This window comes from Homo sapiens, chromosome 8 (genome assembly GCF_000001405.40).
Source record: "Homo sapiens chromosome 8, GRCh38.p14 Primary Assembly".
NCBI classification, from domain to species: Eukaryota; Metazoa; Chordata; class Mammalia; order Primates; family Hominidae; genus Homo; species Homo sapiens.
Window position 1 is genome coordinate 98,878,464 of NC_000008.11, and position 18,860 is coordinate 98,897,323.

General features: G+C 40.0%; 1 protein-coding gene across 8 annotated transcripts in view, besides 1 other annotated feature; it reads right to left on the reverse strand.

The window, feature by feature from the left end:
* Positions 1 to 18,860, reverse strand: part of STK3 (serine/threonine kinase 3) — a 598,636-nt gene that overhangs the window by 534,489 nt on the left and 45,287 nt on the right. For 7 of the 8 annotated variants that reach the window (XR_007060754.1, XM_017013756.2, XM_011517252.4 and 4 more), the window contains exon 2: positions 5,184 to 5,371. Coding sequence is in view for 7 of the 8 variants with exons in the window: in XM_017013756.2 (XP_016869245.1) it covers positions 5,184 to 5,371 (188 nt within the window). In the remaining variant the exon portion in view is untranslated. Of the gene's footprint in view, positions 1 to 5,183; positions 5,372 to 11,311; positions 11,440 to 18,860 lie in introns of all 8 variants that reach the window. The other variant, NM_001256312.2, reaches the window with a different exon arrangement.
* Positions 12,231 to 12,731: an enhancer, noted in NCBI's record as "H3K4me1 hESC enhancer chr8:99902922-99903422 (GRCh37/hg19 assembly coordinates)". NCBI's record gives its function as "activates a minimal SCP1, AML or CMV promoter by ChIP-STARR-seq in naive H9 embryonic stem cells {active_cell/tissue: H9 hESC(naive)}" and the evidence as "EXISTENCE:reporter gene assay evidence [ECO:0000049][PMID:30033119]".

Consider the following 18,860-nt stretch of genomic DNA (forward strand, 5'->3'; position numbering starts at 1 on the left):
TGACTCATTCTGATTACCTACTCCACCCAGACAAATTCCGATTACCAGCTCTGTCATAACCATTTTTCCCGCCAAACCACTCACCCCGTCACTCTCTTTAAATTAGCCAATCGGAATTAGTTTAGCCTGTGCAGTCTAACCCTAGCCAATAGGGGAAGAACACAGCAGCAGGGGCCACGTGTGTCAGGGATAAGAACACCTTCCCCTTTCTTGTCCAGTGTGCGCTCACCATTGCTCCATTTGTAAGGGTGCACCCTTCTCTAGAAGTAACTTGCCTTGCTGAGAATTAAAAAGAAAATTTTATATTCGAGTGCTATTTCTTTTGTAGCACCAAAACTTTATTTATAACACTCCCAAAGTGCTGGGATTACAGGGGTGAGCTACCACTCCTGGCCAAAAAAGTCTATTGATAGAGAATTATTTTCTTTTTTCTTTTTTTTTTTTTTTTTTTTTGAGATGGAGTTTTGCTCTTTCGCCCAGGCTGGAGTGCAGTGGTGCGATTTCTGCTCACTGCAACCTCGGCCTCCTGGGTTCAAGGAATTCTCCTACCTCAGCCTCCCGAGTAGCTGGGATTACAGGTGTGAGCCACCGCGCCCGGCCATAAATTGGTGTATTTGTGTATGCACACTTGGATACCAAAATCCACGGATATTGAAGTCCCTAATATAAAATGGCATAGTATTTTCATATAACCCATGCACATCCTCCTGTATACTTTAAATCATCTGTAGATTACTTGTAACATCTAATACAGTGTAAATGCTATGTAAATAGTTGTTATACCATATTGTTTGGGGAATAATGAGAAGAAAGCAAAAAGTCTGTACATGTTGAGTACAGACAACTTTTTTTCTGAATATTTTTGATCTGAGGTTGGTTGAATCCACAGATGCTGAACCCACGGATACGGATGGCTGACCACGGTTGTTACTCTTTCACTTCGAGGCATCAGGTTTTATCCTTTGGATTTAGACAGGACTAGGATATCCATATCAATTTTAATTCCATTACACTTCTGTCAATTCAATTTTTTTCAGTAAACTGTTATTAATACATTTTACATATACTTTTATCAAAACTGGGTGCTGAGGAAAGAATACATTCAAGTCTTGGAAAATACCTGCCACAAAACCTAAAGAGCTAATCCTCTATGTCAATCCAATCAGCCTTATTTCACTTTCATATAAAGCCTGACTTTTTCTTTTTTTTCTCAAAAATTAATCAGTGTGCAATAACTTTGTTTTTCAATTCAAATTAATGTATTAATTCATATCTCAAAAACATTGTTAAAAACAACTGAGAAATATCTTCAGGGAAGTACCACATAATATTACTAAAAAAGATTAAATCAATAACATGATAATTAATATATCATTTTATAACATGTTATTCAAACGTGCTAAGCAAGATAATAAATCAATTTGCTGTTTCAACAATTTTGAACTCGAATAAGAAAATCACTTGAATTTGCTTTTTGTCTAACATCATTTCCATAGTCAAAAATAAATATAAAATAGGCTGGGCACAGTGGGTCAGCCTGTAATCCCAGCACTTTGGGAGGCCGAGGTGGGTGGAACACCTGTCAGGAGTTCAAGACCAGCCTGGCTAATGTGGCAAAATGCCGTCTCTACTAAAAATACAAAAGTTAGCCAGGTGTGGTGGTACATGCCTGTAATGCCAGCTACTCGGGAGGCTGAGGCAGGAGAATCGCTTGAACCTAGGAGGTGGTGGTTGCAGTGAGCCAAAATTGCACCACTGCCCTCTACCCTCGGTGACAGAGGGAGATTCCATCTCAAAAATAAATAAAATACATATAAAATAAATGCAAGTAATAATTCATTAGCCAAAAAAAGTAAGAAATGTGCATTAAAATGATCTATAACATAACCACATTTATTTAAGAATGTATTCCAATATCAAATGGCAAATTTCAACAAAGCAAAAACTTTTTCCCACCAACGTGATACTTTGTAAAAATGTAATAGAATGTGTGACTAAACTTTTAGGTTATTTGTGAAGTTAGAGGTATCATAAAAGGCATAGTATTCTTCTGAAAAATTTAGTTTGATCAAACTCTGGTGTTCATTTGTTGAGAAAGAATAAGAACCAAGAATACAAATCAAACTCCATTAAGAAAATAAAAAGACAAGCCACAGACTGGGAGAAAATATTTGCATATCTGATAAAGGATGGGCAAAAGACATGAAAAGATCTCACTTCACCAAAAAAGATATACAGACGGAAAATAAGCATACGAAAAGAAGTTCAACATCATATGTCATTAGGGAATTACAAATTAAAACAAAAAATTAGAAACTACTACACACCTATTTAAATAGCTAAAATGGAAAACACTGACAATACAAAATGCTGATGAGGATGTGGAGCAACAGAAACTTCAGTTCATTGCTGGTAGGAATGCAAATGATACAGCCAGTGTGAAAGTCGGTTTGGCAGTATTTTACAAAACTAAACATACTCTTAATTATGCAGCAATGGTTTTGCTCCTTGGTATCACCCAAACTTATGACTAACCCAAAACCTGCATATGAATGTTTAGTTAATAAATAACATATTTATGCCAATAACATATAGCATATTATTATTTAGTTAATAATAAACATAGCAGCTTCATTCTAATTTCTAAAACTTGAACATGACAATGATTTCCTTCAATATGTGAATGGACAGGCTGTAGTACATCCATACAATGGAATATTATTCAGCACTAACATGAAATGAGTTATCAAGCCACGAAAAGACATAGAGGAACCTTAAATGCATATTACTAAGTGAAAGAAGCCAACCCCAAAAGGCTACATACTATATGATTCCATCTATATGACATTCTGGAAAAGGCAAAACTATGGAGACAGTAAAAGGTCAGTTGTTCCTGGAGTTGTGGGGGAGAGATGGATGAACAGGTGGAGCACAGGAGCATTTCAGAGCAGTAAAACTCTTCTGTCCGATACTGTTGTGGTGGGTATATGTCATTAGACATTTGTCCAAACCCATAGAATGTACCACACAAAGAATTAACCCTAATGTAAACTGTGGACTTTAGTTAATAATAATGAATCAATATTGGCTCATCAATCATAACAAATGTAACATACTAATGCAAGATATTAATCATCAGGGAAATGTTGGGAGGGGGAGAAACAAGAAGAGATTTGGGAACTCTGTACTTTTCACTCATTTGTTCTGTAAACCTAAAACTGCTCTAAAAAACAGTCTGTTAATTTAAAAAATATCAAACTCTGTAATTTTGTTTAAATATATGATCAAAATTTCCCTATGAATTAATGAAAGAAAAGTGTATGCATTGCTAAAAAAATCCAGAAGCTAGCATTTTATTTCTTATTAATCGAAAGAAGGAAATATGCAAAATTTAATAAATAAAAATGAGAATTAGGCCAAAGAGGGAGAAGGCTAGAAGCTTGAGGCCAGGAGGTTGAGGCCATGGTGAGCTAGGATTATGCCACTGCACTCCAGCCTGGGTGATGGAGCAAGACCCTGTTTCTAAAAAAAAATTGCTTCATTCAAAAAATATTTTTAAAGATGAGAATTGACCATATTTGAAATAAATATTTCATGATGATTTGATAATCAATTCTAACTATATTCTTTATGTAATAATATACAGCAAGTCCAAAATAAATAAAAAATTTATCCATGACTTATTCCTGAAAAATTGGGTAGTCATGAAAAACATTTAAAATAGTCAGAATCATTCACCTATTCTGCTTTGGGTGTTTATAGTTGCTTCCCTTTCCTTTTTAAAATTTTTTTATTTTTAATTTTTGTGGGTACGTAGTAGATGTATATGTTTATGGGTTCCTTTCTAATCAATGATACATTTTAGGAATAAGTAATTGAAGAGGTAAAAAATAATCAATATTTACATATACTTAAATATATTGACAGTCACTCCTTCATACCAATATCCTTTTTTTTTTGTTTTTTTTTTTTTAGGCAGTCTTGCTCTGTTGCACAGGCTGGAGTGCAATGGTGCAGTCTCACCTTACTGCAACCCCTGCCTCCCAGGTTCAAGCCATTCTCCTGCCCTCAGCCTCCCAAGTAGCTGGGGTTATAGGCACACGCCACAATGCCCAGCTAGTTTTTGTATTTTTAGTAGAGACGGGGTTTCACCATGTTGGCCAGGCTGGTCTCGAACTCCTGACCTCAGGTGATCCACCTGCCTCGGCCTCCCAAAGTGCCGGAGGCATGAGCCACCATGCCTGGCCCAATATCCTCTTTTTTTACTCACCAGGTGATGCATTCTTTAACAGCTGCCTTATTTAGAGGAACCACTAGGACAGGGCCACTCAGATTAAGGAAGAAAGATGTTAAACAACAATTATCATTACTCCTACCATCACACTCAACCAAATATCTCAATACCAAAATGGCCATTTCTAATGCTGGTTTTACTCTCAGAAATAAGGTTTTCTAAATGAGAGTTTCTAAGCCTTATCTGGGAACCACATCATCGTAGGAACCTTCTCTTTGGTGTCCTAGGAGTTCTCATACCCAAGGCCAGCTTGATTTGGGATGGTGATGGGTCTTTCTTTGTAAAGTGAGAAAAGGCCTATGGTAAGCACAAGCACGTTATCAGCAAGGGTTTTGTTTTGTTTTGTTTTGTTTTTTAAGAGAAAATATTAAAAGAAAGTTGAATGTCTGACATGGAATCTCTCAAAACTATCCAGGCACGCTTACGCAAAACTAATTTCTCTCCTGTTTTCCCTCTACTGTTCTCCTTCCACAGCTAAGGGGGAGAGGGGAGTCCTGAATCTGATTTTTTAAAAAGTGCCTCCAGGCAAGTCTGATGATTAACCATCCAGTTTGGAAACCACCCAACAATGTACATTCATTGGGGCTTGATGAGGTCACTCTCCACCATTCATCACATTACTTATGGATTAGGCTGGCCTGCCAGAAGGAAAATACAGCATATTACAAAATTTCATCGAAACTATCTAAATCACTCTCTTGGGCTAAAATATCTGCAAGGAAATCCAAACACTCTTCTGTATTACTGAAGTCCTTTGTTTCCAAGTAACACATCAATTTAACATAAATAAAAAGAAGAATTTATTTTAAGGACAATAAACATCTAAAGGAACGCAACACCAAAACTGCTGCCTGGTCTGAGGAGGGACTGCAACCAGGCATTTCTTTACCTGTCTTGCTTGTTTTCTTCTCCTTGTGTGCTCCATTCTTTTTTCTTGAAGACAGAGGCTGCTCCGTTCCTAAGGCAGATGGTAATGCCACTGTCCATGAGTTGTAACATTTCCTCCACTGAAGAGTCTAGCTCAGAGAGATCTCTCCATCCTTTTTCCAAATTCCTGAAGAAGGGACATTGAATGGCCTATTTGGAATAAAAGATTCACTCCTTAGTTCAGTCAACTGAAGCCAGAGGGGCAGTCACATACAAATAGGGTTGCCGGGGATGACTTCAGCATGTTGGGAACAGGGAGGGGAGAGCAAAGGAAGCAATTAAGGGAGTCATCCTGAGAAGAGCAGGAGTTCTCCCAAGGTGTACTACTACTACATCCTGTAAGCTCCGGACAGCCAATGTGGACAAGGAAATCTTCCAAGGTAGCACTTATTAGCTACTGTAAGGAATGACGTCACTGAGCCCTTACCACCAAGACTATTTTGCTGTAACTTCTAGTTTTCAGTAATGCCATTGATAAGTTTTGTGCCCATAGGATTCTCATTCCTATATATGTGATCTATTTTTTCCCCTCTCTGAAAGTCTTCAGGATATTTCTTTATCCGTGTTGCTCTAAAACTTCACGATGATATTCTAAGATGTGAGTCTATTTTTATTTATTGCTCTGGGCACTTACTCAGGGAGCCCCCTTTTTAATCTTCATTTTAATTTTTTTAAATAAAAAATCCCCATTTGGAGGTAATCTCAGACTTTTTACAAAATTGTAAATATGGTATAAAGAATTCCCAGATTCCCCAAATGTAACTTGGTACATAAGCATAATTTATCAAGACTAAGGAATTAACAATACAATAGCTTATCCTACAGACCTTATTTAAATTTTGTCAACTGTCCTATTAATTTTCTTTTCCTGGTTCAGGATTGCAGTGGACTGAATGCTTATGTCCCCTTAAAATCAATATGTTGAAATGCGAGCCCCCAAGATGACAGCATTAGGAGCTAGGGCTTTTGGGAAATAATCAGGTCATTATACGATTTAATAACACCTCTCCTGTATAGAATGTATCCCAGTTGTAACTTCAGATTTCTCCTTGTGATTTGATTAATTTGTCTCCCCCATTAGAATATAAGTTTCATGATGGGAGTAATCATGTCAGGTTGCTTTGGTCACCATTATATTCCCAGTACCTAAAATAGTGTTTAGCACATATTATGTCCTCAATGAATATTTATTAAACAAATGAATAAATTCCTTTAAAACATTTTATGATGCTGGGAACCATTGTTAAGAGAATTGTTTTTGCCTAAAAACTCAAAGAACACTGCAATACCATCTTCCAGGTTCCCCGTGTGGTTGGGCATGGTGTTGTAAAACAGATGAAATAAATCTCAAACAAATGAACTACCCTGTTAACAATGAGGAATGTGTTAGCCAAATCACCTATAACTCATTGTAACTGGCCACATTATTATGGAGAATGGCCTTAGGGACTTGAACAAACTTCTCATAACATACCAGAGTCTGGTCTTACCAGGAGTATAAAATCAATGGGTAATTAACTGAACCAAGACCAGGCCTGCCTCCTTGCCCCAGCACAGATGTGCACTGATTTCAAGAGGGCACAATTTATGTTTCATGGTGAGTAAAGGAGGCTTCAGACCAAGGACTTGCCAATGACTAGCCATATGGAAGCCAAACTTTACCCTCTCTTTTAAAAGTGCAAAGATGGTGTCAAATTCAACATTTGTGGCATTTCTTAGAGTTTTATGATTTAGGTTTTTGTTTTTGTTTTGTTTTGTGTTTTGTTTTGTTTGAGACGGAGTTTCATTCTTGTTGCCCAGGCTGGAGTGCAATGGCGCGATCTCGGCTCACAGCAACCTCCGCCTCCCAGGTTCAAGCGATTCTCCCGCTTCAGCCTCCCAAGTAGCTGGGATTACAGGCATGCGCCACCAGGCCGGCTAATTTTTTGTATTTTTAGTGGAGACGGGGTTTCTCCGTGTTGGTCAGGCTGGTCTCAAACTCCCAATCTCAGGTGATCTGCCCGCCTCGGCCTCCCAAAGTGCTGGGATTACAGGCGTGAGCCACCGCAGCAGGCTGATTTCGGTTTTTATTTAATAGAAAAGCATTGCATTTATTTGTAACAGCCAAAAATTGGAAACATTTCAAATGTCCTTCAGTTGGGTGAATGGTTAGACTGTGGAACACCTATATCATGGAATACAACTCAGCAGTAAAAAGGAACACGTTATTGATATGCACAACTCCTCCAATGGATCTCAAGGGAATTATGCTAAGTGGGAAAAAAGCCAATATCAAATACATATTGTATGATTCCACTTATATAACATTCTTAAAATGACCAGATGATAGACATAGAGAACAGATTAGTGATTTCCAGAGGTTGGGAGTGAGAAGAGGGCGAAAGGCATGACTATAAGGTAGCAGTATAATGAATCTTTATGGTAGAACAGTCCTGTATCTTGATTGTGGTGGTGGTTACCCATGTCTACACTAGATAAAATTGCACAGAACTATGTACACATACACACACACACACAACTACATCTAAAATTGGTGAAATCTGAATAAGATCTGTCAATTGTACCAATGTCAACTTCCTAATTCTGATCCTGTACTAGAGTTGGGTAAGATTTTGGCATTGGTGGAATCTGGGTGAAGTATACACGAAACCTCCACATGACAGGTTGAGCAATCCTAATCTGAAAACCTGAAATCTGAAATGCTCAAAATCTGAAATTTATTAAAACAAATGTTCAATGCAATGTATTTGCAAGAGCAAAACAATTTAAGCAATATAAATGCTCATCAGTAAGGGATGAGTTAGGCCAATTATTTATATGCAATATTAGGATAATATGGAATGAAATGAGGGCATACCCATGCTAAGCTGTTACAAGTGGTTGCCCTGGGAGTAAAGAAATACACATTAACTTTTTCTTTAGATATTTCAACATCGTTATACTACTTTTATAATGTAAAAACTAAAAATATTGTGCCCAGAAAAAGAGAGAAACAGTCATTTCTCATTATCCATAGGAGATTGGTTCCAGGACACCCTAAAATCCACAAATGCTTAAGTCCTTATACATAATGGTGGAGTACTTGCATATAACCTACACACATCCTCCTGAATACTTAAAATCATCTTTTGGGCCAGGCACGGTGGCTCATGTCTGTAATTCCAGCACTTTGGGAGGCAGAGGTGGGTGGATTACCTGAGGTCAGCAGTTTGAGACCAGCCTGGCCAACATGGTGAAACCCCATCTCTACTAAAAATACAAAAATTAGCTGGGTATGGTGGTGCGCGCCTGTAATCCCAGCTACTTGGGAGCCTGAGGCAGGAGAATCGCTTGAACCAGGAGGCGGAGTTTGCAGTGAGCCAAGATCATACCATTGCACTCCAGCCTGGGCAACAGAGCGAGACTCCACCTCAAAAAAAGAAAAAAAGAAATCATCATTTGGTTACTTATAATACCTAATACAATGCAAATGTCACGTAATAGTTGTTATGGTGTCTTTTTTAGGGAATAATGACCAAAATAAGTCTGTCCGTGTTCAGTACAGAAACAACCATCCATTTTCCCCCCGAATCAAAATCTGAAATTTTCTGAGTGCTGAAATGATGCTCAAAGAAAATACTCATTGAATCATTTTGGAGTTCAGATTTTTTGATTAGGGATGTTCAACTGGTAAGTATAATGCAAATATTCCAAAATCTGAAAAAATCCGAAAAAATCCAAAATCCAAAACACTTCTGGTCCTAAGCATTTTGGATAATTAATACTCAACCTGTATTTTTGCAACTTTCTGTGAATCTATAATGGCTTCAAAATAAAAACTTATTTTATGCAATATAAGTTATTTCTAGTAAAACAACATTCAGCATATATGTTTGCCTTCATTTACTTCTGAAATCCCACTAAATGGAGTAAAGAAAAGATTATAAACATAAAAGTATACAACCACACACCCCCACCCCAGTATGAGACCATAGAAATGGAGATGACTGTAAAAATATAGAAACTGGAAAATAGATGTACATGAGATAACTATTTATAGTAGGTTTCTGTGAAACCGTAGTAGTAGAGATGACCCCAGAGCAAGGAGCAGTCAGCAGGGATGACTCCATTCTGGACAAGGCCACTAAGAAGACCTGTTATGTAGGCCTGGACAAAGTACCACAAAGCCAAGCAGCTATGGAGAACACATGGCTCGAGGCATTCGCTGGCCTTTCTGTCTCTGAAGCAGTTGCTTAGCAATGTGACAAGATGCCAGACAGTTGGAGACCCAAGTAAGTGTTCACATGCTGGGGGGAAGCAGAGGGATGGCTGAATATGGGGCTAGTGGTGGATCTAAAGTCTGAACTATTGGGGGCCAGACACAGTGGCTGACACCTGTAATCCCAGCATTTTGGGAGGCTAAGGTGAGTGAATCACTTGAGGTCAGGAGATCGAGAACAGCCTGGCCAACATGGTGAAACCCTATCTCTACTAAAAATACAAAAATTATCTGAGCATGGTGGTGCGTGTCTGTAGTCCCAGCTACTCAGGAGGCTGAGGCAGGAGAATCGCTTGAACCTGGGAGGCGGAGGATGCAGTGAGCCGAGATTGCACCACTGCCCTCCAGCCTGGGCGACAGAGTGAGACTCTGTCTCAAAAATAAAAAATTTTAAAATAAATAAATAAAGTCAGAGCTATTGGGAAAAATCAAATAGCACAGGGGCTGAGGAAGAGTGGTCTCAGTGCCTCCGGTGTCTGAGGCTTGCTCTGTGGACTAGAAGGGAGTAGACAAACCTGATTTATAGGGCCAAGGTTGGGCTGGACACCCCCAGTCTAAATCAACAGTTTTCAAACTTTGTAAAGCAGTGGAACATTTTCTCCAAAGTAAATCTTAAATAAAAGTGTAAACCACCAAAACAAAGTGGGGTTGCTCTGGTAGCAACTGCATCCTTGATTTCCAGGCCTCCTGAGGGTCCCACATCCAGATGTTGAAGCAAAAAGGAATTCAAAAATGCAGTAATTTTCTTTATTGAGAAGTTAGGTTAGAAACCCAATTTTCAAGTATGCAAATTAACTAGAATGTCTCCAGTCTGTGTTAGATAGAACCTGAAAACGGAAATTTTGAACTAGCACACCAGTCACCATTTCCAGTCTGCTCTCTCAGCAGGCCCCATGGCCCCTGTAATTTAGCTAGTTAAGGCTTTTCCTCTGGCCAAACAGCTAAACTTGAGCCAGGTGGACTTAAACACATGAACCAATTCAGTTTACTGTCTAAAAATGAAAGAGAAAAGTCTGCCAGGATCTTCTCCTCGTCCCCACAAAGTTCCCAAGAGCAGAATTCAGCCCTCCTCCCCTCCCACTACAAACACAGGAGAGAGGCCAGCCCAATATAACTTAAAACAGAGCGACCCTGCAGCCCTCTCAGACAAATTACATCAAAACAAGTCAAAGCAAATGCAACTGTCCTTACCAGTTTTGTAAAGGAATTGCCTGGGAACCATTCCTTTTCAGACCTAATTAAAAAGTCAGTTTTGAATTACAGAACAAGATGGTATGAGAGCCAGTGTTCAACAGGCAGAACAAACAAACATGCAAAGATAAAATGCATGGGCTTTTACAGAGAGCTGCTGCCAGCGACAGCAGAAATGGCTCTCTTTCAGCCAAGTCTAGGGTGCCCTGGAAAACTTCATACCTCTCCAGGGAGACAGTTCCCAGAAACCTCCCTCCCCTGCAAAGCACTCCTATAACAAATAAATAAACTACATTTCCCAAAGTTCTCTTTGCTCAGGCCTGGGGCTATATTTTAAACCACTCTGTAATTGTCCCCCACCAGAAAAGCAGAAATGTTTAAATGTGACAACCTTTTGACATACAGAGTTGACTCAGCTCATTTCAAATTTCATCTTATCTCCAGTGTCCTTGGGCATGTTTTAAAAGATAAAAATACCAAATGTGACCAAGATCGTCAAGGTATAATGGAACAAGGGTCCAATGTTTTTTTACCCTCAACGAATGCATTATACTTCATTTAGATCAGCGGTCTCAAATATTAGCATGCGTCAGAATCACCTGAATTCAGGGCTTGTTAAAATACAGATTGCTGAACCGTACCTCCACAATCTCAGATTCAGCAGATTTGGAGGGGGTCCGAAGAATATGCGTTTCTAGCAAGTTCCACCGGTTCTGGATTACACTTTAAGAACTGCTCTCAGAGATTATCTACATGGTCAATTCCAAATCTATCAAGAAAGAAGGCACACAGTTACTGATTTCTGCAAGCTTTGAACTAGCAGTATCTTTAAGGAGAAGACCCCAGCCATCTCTAGCAGTGTGGGGAAGAGTAAAAGGCAAAGCCTCTAGTTCCGGAAGATCCAGAAACTGGCACTGCCTGGTCCAGCATTTTCATTTTCCCACTGAGGAAATGTAGGCTTAGAGGGAATCAATTTGTGCAGTCTCCCAGTGAGTCCGTGGTTGTGCTGGGACAAAGTACCCAGTTGTCCTGGCTTCCACTCCAGTGCTCTGGCCCTTGCTGGAGTAAAATGGGACACCTGGGCTTGGCAAGGAACAAGGACGCCAACATGATTCTGATTCATCCCAATTTCTCCACAGCCTTCTGCCTTTTCTCTGCATTGGTAAAAGTATAATCCCCAACCCAGGAATTTTACTCTCGCTTTCGTTCATGTCTTCGTAGCCTAAGACAGGCAGTCAAAATGGGACAGCTGACAGCCACAACAGCCTTTAATTACAATATCTGGAGGACACATTAATGAATGTAGACCCATTTATTTACTTTTTTATGTACCTTGTCTGTGCGACAGCAAGCAACTAGAATCTCAGGAAACACCAACCAGACCCAGGCATCAATCTGCTACTCTGTTATTAGAAGGAAATTAGCCTTTAAGAAAAATTGTCTAGGCTTACCAATCACTCCCACCAGCCACCAGGGGTCACATAAATAGAAGTTTTCACTGGACCTTTCTAATTCACAAACCTACCCTCTTCCACCACAGGCCTTGGTAGAACACATAATTCAGCAGCAAGAATCCCTTGAAGAAGAAAAGAAAACACCTATAAAACTATATTTTTTTCTAATTCCAGAGACATGAAACCCTTTAGGAGTTTAGGCCAGGGTTCATGACAATCCATTATCTGAAAGCACAGATGTACAGATAAACCATTATTTTTGTAAAGATACATCTTCTAAAACACCAGTCAGCTTGGCATTGTGTTTGTCCTTGAATTGAAGAACGATATCATTTTATCGTCCTAGCCTTGAGCATGGTTATCAATGCCAGTAACTAAGAGGCCTAATTTGAAAGATGGTCATGATGTCCGACTTACAAATGCCTTCTACTCAGTTAACAGGGACTGCTGAAAGCAAATGGCTTATACATTGTTGCACAAGTGGAAAATCTGGCCTCCTAACAGTTGTTAAATGTGCCAGCTAAGAGCCTCTGAAGGTCAGTCTACCAGGGCTGGGGCAGTGACCACAGCCACGTGCTGCGCCTTTTGCAGCTCAGCACCGCATGGTGCAGCTGTTGTATTGGCCAAAGAAAGTGCTGGCAGCCCCGGGAGAAACAGAGACTTAATTCACTTGCAGGAACTTTCCTGAAAGAGTCTTTTAAAAAGCATTTAAGGCAGACCAGGTGCACTTATTTTCTTTTTAAATCTCATTGCTTTGTCAAGTATTCTCGTTTATGGCTCCAACACTCTTTATGTGCAACATTAACCATCCTTTGTTACATTATAAATTATAACGAGAACTTTTATAAAACATATTTAATGATAATTCATGATTTCTAGGTAGATTCCTTTAGATGTATAACATTTAAATATCCATGGTATAGCACTCTTGATATGTACATAGCAGGGATTGCAATTTAGGTTGCCTGGGGTTTTGTTAAAAGTTTTGTAAGTTGTGCAGACTTTATCTTTAAATAAAACTGTGTGTGTGTGTGTGTGTGAGAGAGAGAGAGAGAGAGAGAGATACACAGTGCTTAGATATAAACAGTAGTAAAAGAAAGCTGATTCAATTCAGTATGTTACACTGTTAAGACTTCCAGCTGTCAAGTGCTTCCACTATAAACAGGAGGCGGGAAGAATGGGATCTAGAGGGAATAGAGATTGCATAAAAGTGAAACTTCATGATGTGAGGGCCGGGGGTTGGACTCAAGTCATCATCTATTTAGGTGAAAACTGCCAATACCCTGAATAATTCTAGGAAATACTCTGGTCCTTCACTAGACTCTGAAAGTACTCAGGCCACAAACTCTCCCAGTCCTAGCATGACAAAAGACCTCCCTATGCCAATAAGTAAAAATGAGTGCCAGAGCCATCCTCAAAGGTAAATATCTGGGGTAGGCAGCTGTTTGCATAATGTGATTTTAAGTGTGACAAGCACGTACTCCACCCAAAAAAAAATCTATGCTATAGACCCAGGTCACGGATGCCTGCAATTCTACCATTAGGGAGTATTTCCATCCCAGTCAGAGACTTAGGAATCATCCTTGACTCCTCTCTCTCCTTCTCTGACCCCATTCAATCAATCATGAATTCCTCCTTCCTAGCTTGACTCTGTCCCTTTATCTTCATTCCCTCTGACAGTACATAGTTCAGGTCACCATCGACTCCTGCCAGGATGACTGTGGTTACCTCCTGACCTGTCTGTGTGCCTCCAATTTGTTCTCCACACTGCAACTGCAACAAATGTGATCTTTCTAAGATGCAGATCTGATTATGACAGTCCCCAGATTAAAACCATTAGCTGGGTCCTCAAGGCCCTCAGAATGAAGTCCAGATTCGTTAATGGGGTTTACAAGCCCTTATGCTCTGGCCATGGCTGACCACTGTGGGCTCTCCTATGCCACTGCCTCCCCGTCAGTGCACTCACCTTTCCTTAGTCCCTTACTTTTGCTTCCAGGCCTTTGTACACATTGTCCCCTTTGCTTGGTACACTCTCCCCGTTTCCTACCTTTGTTCCCAAAGACTGCATGACCCTAAATTTATCCCTACTTTAGCACTTTCTTACTATGTAAGCTTTATCCATCTGACTCTAATTCTTTCTGAATTAGGACTATGTATTTCACAAATGCCAGAACTCTTACTTATTCACTACTTTATTTCCAGGACCTAGCAAATACTTGTCTCATAGCAGTCACTCAATAAATATTTGTTGACTAAATGAACAAGTGAATCAGTAAATGTCTTATCTTTTATTAACAACGTTAGCAATTCACACTTCAGTGTGATTTTTCTTACTACAGCTCTCTAAGAATATATTTGAGACGGTTAATGAAATAAAGGCAGAATTGGCTCTGGAAAACCAGGGGACAGTATAAAGGCAATGGTTAGCCAAGAAAGAAAGGCACTGAGAAGGAAGGTAAGAACAGGTTCTATTGGGATTGCTTAGATAGGGGTCCTTTCTAGATAAAAAGAAAATAGCGGCTGGGCACGGTGGCTCATGCCTGTAATCTCAGCTCTTTGGGAGGCCAAGGTTGGGTGGATCACTTGAGGTCAGGAGTTCGAGACCAGCCTGGCCAAAATGATGAAACCCTATCCCTACTAAAAATACAAAAATTAACCAGGCATGGTGGTGCATGCCTGTAGTCCCAGCTACTCAGGAGGCTGAGGCAGAAGAAGTGCCTGAACCGAGGAGGTGGAGGTTGCAGTGAGGCAAGATTGCACCACTGCACTTCAGCCTGGGTGACAGAGCAAGACTTGCGAAGAAAGAGAAAGAAAGAAAGAAGGAAGGAAGGAAGGAAAGAAAGAAAGAAAGAAAGAAAGAAAGAAAGAAAGAAAGAAAGAAAGAAAGAAAGAAAGAAAGAGAAAGAAAGAAAGAAAGAAAGAAAGAAAGAAAGAAAGAAAGAAAGAAAGAAAAAGAAAGAGAAAGAGAAAGAGAGAGGGAGGGAGGAAAGAAAGGAAAGAAAGAAGGAAAGGAAAGGAAAGGAAAGAGGAAGGAAAAAGAACTTAAAAAAAAAAGCAACCAAAGCTTGAGTTCTGTTCCTGATTTCATCCCCAAGGTTACCACCAAGAAAGGTGGTTTTCCTCTGCATGGGTTGTACAGTGAAGTACCCGCACTTGGCCTGTGGCTCCACCCACAGCTGGCTCAATGACTGTGGCCTGTGCCATGGAGAAGCTGCAAGAACAAGGCAGAGTGGACTGGACAGTCTGTGTCACCCTGGCCAATTTGACCAAACTTATCTAGTCACAGATGGTTATGAATAATTTTTTGCTTATCACAGCCTTTCGGAAAAGTATTAAAGTTTCAGCAGCCCATGCTTCATGTATTTTCCTCCCCAAGTATACCCTTTTACCTATAATCAGTATAGCGGAAGGATAAGATGTAAAATGTGTTCACTGGTTTATTAGTTTGTTATACTACTGACCTCAGTCAATCACCCGGTGATGTTTCTGGGCAATACAAAAATATCTTCTTCCTTCTATCCCGTGATAGGGGGTATTTTCTAAGCCTCAGACATGAGCCCCCACTTTTTTTCCTCTCTCTTCTTTCCTTGGTGAACCAATTCTACATACTGATGATGCCTAAATCTAATACATCCACCTTGACCTCATAAACAGAATCCACCCCCACATATTTCATTGTCTGTAGGACATTTTCCTTTGGACAGCTCATCAATCAATTCAACAAGCCCAAACTACCTTGTTATCTTACCTTCCTCCAAAAAAATATCTGAGCCACAGCTGCAACATCCTAACTTTTTCCAGTACATCATTAATCTCCTAGTCACATGTCAGAAAACTCACTCCTTCCACTAGAACATAAACTGTCACCTCATCAATGAGGGCCACCTTGACTACTCCATTTAAAATTTCATCTCTATGGCCCCAGCATTCTTGATTCCCCCTTAAAGTGCTCTGTTTGTTCCCAGCATTTATTGTTTTCTAGTATGCTACATAATTTACCTATCTACTTATTATTTCTCATTCTGTCCCCAAATCTTACTAGAATGTAAGCACCACTGAAGACAGAGACTTCTGTTCACAGATATCATCCCTGTGCTTATAACAGTGCCCGACATACAGTAAGTGCTCAATAAATATTTGTTCAATTAATTCATTCACTCTACAAGTATATACTTAATATAACAAATAATGTAACTTAAAATACCTTACTCCTCTAATTGGAATTTACACTCTGTGAAGTAGAGGTCTTTGACTTCTTTGTTCACTGCTGTGTCCCCAGAATCTAGAATGGCACCAGGTAGCAAAGGTGTTCAATAAAAATCTGTTGAATAAATGAACGAATGGATAGGAACTCATTGAGTACCTTTTAGTACCAAGTACTAAGTGAGGTGCTTGGGGATTCTAGATATTTTAAATAACTAACTATGATGCAATGGGATAAATATAAATAATAGAAGTAGGAACAAAATGGCATGGGAACTCAGGAGCAATGGCACTGAAGATCATTCTTCACGCCTGAGTCTGAAAGAAGACACAGATGTTTATCTGCTCCCTGTGCCAGGTAAAGGGCCACAAAGGGATTAAAGTGTATGGTATGGCGCAATGTTTCTCAACTGTTATTTCCATATGAGTTACCTGGGGACTCTTGTTAAAACAGACTCTGGTTTGATGGGCCTGAGGTAAGCCCTAAGATTTCACATCTCTAACAAGGTGTTGTTGAGGCTGCTGGTCCTCAAACCACACACTGACTGACAAATGTACACAACTCGGCACCCATCCCCCTTATTTCTTTTTACTAGACTAAAATTTTGTCTATGTATCTAACACTCCCTCCTCCAGTATGGAGAGGAAGTGGTTCTAGTCCCAGCTCCAGGGTTAGACTGGATTTGAGCTTGGCCAATCAGGACAAGGCATTCTTTTGACTGATTACTGGGTGAGAATGGGAATGGGAAGTAAGGATGCATGATCTGTTTAGGGGAAAGGTTTTCCTTTCTATGCTGCTGTCCTTAAACAAAGAAGCGTATGGCTTGATGGCTACAGGCAGCCATCCTCCAACATGAGAAGCATGAGCCTCAAGATGAACCGAATGCCAAGGGTGCTGAGTGGAGAGGGGGAGAGAACCTGGGTCCTTGATGATCACTTAGCTGCTGATTGTGTTGATCCTGGAATCTACTCTACCTCTGATCTTTCAGGTATGTGAAATGATAAATATCCTTATTGTTCAAGCCAATTTGAGGTCAAGGCTTCTACTTGCAGCAGAAATTATCCTAATGGTTACATCTGATTTTTGTTTATTTGTTTAGGGAACAAATATTTATTGAATACTACTATGTCCCAGGCACCAGAAAAATAAGACAGGCATAATTCTCTACCCTCGTAAAATTTATAGCCTAGATGATAAATTAATTTGATAGAGTTCAAATTTCTGAGATGAGCACGATTTCATTTTAAATTATTTATATTCTTGGATGGGGACTACTTCTCCCTCCCTAGCCCTGCCCCTGAAATAGTTCTTTATTAGTCATCTCTGCCCTAGTACAACTGCCTTCATCCTAAAACAGAGCTTTGTCTCCTTACGCTTGAAAATTGCAACAGTACCCTAACACCCCTCTCAGATCCAATCTACAAACTAGTACCCTATTAATCTTCCTAAAGCATCAAATTCACGAGAGAAAATTCTCCAGAGACCCTCCATTGCTTAAAGCAGTGATTTTCAAGCTTGCTTTATGAAAGCAAAAAACTGTTTCTTCAAAAGCAAAAAAGGTTATTATACAAAGTCACAATGTATTAAATAGACAAACTAGTGCTGTGCTGTAGAAGTGAGGGACACCCAGAATCTCATCCCCTCCCCAACCCCATTCCTACTTCACTTCCCAACACACCCACTTCCTGAGGAGTGGTAGAGTTCAACTGGTGCCTTCACTTCACATAGTTTCACAAACAGTAGCCTTGTCATAGGGTAAAATTAAAAATTTCCACTTGTCATTCTATTACCTGCCTCTGTTATCTGCCCACATTCTTGATTTGACCAAGTCCAGCCTCCCCACTACCCTTCAAACATACACACTCAAGTCTTTGCCTAGGCTATTACTTGCATCAGAAATGTCTGGGCCAGGTGCAATGGCTCATGCCTGTAATCCCAGCACTTTGGGAGGCAGAGGCTGGTGGATCACTTGAGGTCAGGAGTTTGAGACCAGCCTGGGCAACATAGTGAAACCCCATCTCTACAAAAAATACAAAAATTAGCTGGGTGTGGTCGCTCATGCCTGTAATCCTAGCTACTCGGGAGGCTGAGGTGGGAGGATAGCTTGAGCCCAATAGGTGGAGGCTGCAGTGACCTCTGATAGTGTCACTGCTCTTCAGCATGGGCGACAGAGACCCTGTCTCAAAAATAAAAAAATAATAACAATAAAAAAATAAAAGAAAAGAAAGAGAAAGAGAAAGAAAGAAATAAGAAAAGCTGTGTGTCCATGTCTGTGTCTATGCAAAACAGATACACCTCCACTAGAAACCTGAAAACAACATGGAACACACACTCCCAGCATCCACATAGCAGGCATGACCAATCGATCCCAATCCATCAGTCTCACTTCCTCTGAGTTTGGTAGCTCCACAGTTTGTTTCCATGCATCACATCAGTCAACCACTATCAATCCTATTATTTAACACGCAAAAGAAATGTCTTTTTGGCCGGGCGTGGGGGCTCACGCCTGTAATCCTAGCACTTTGGGAGGTG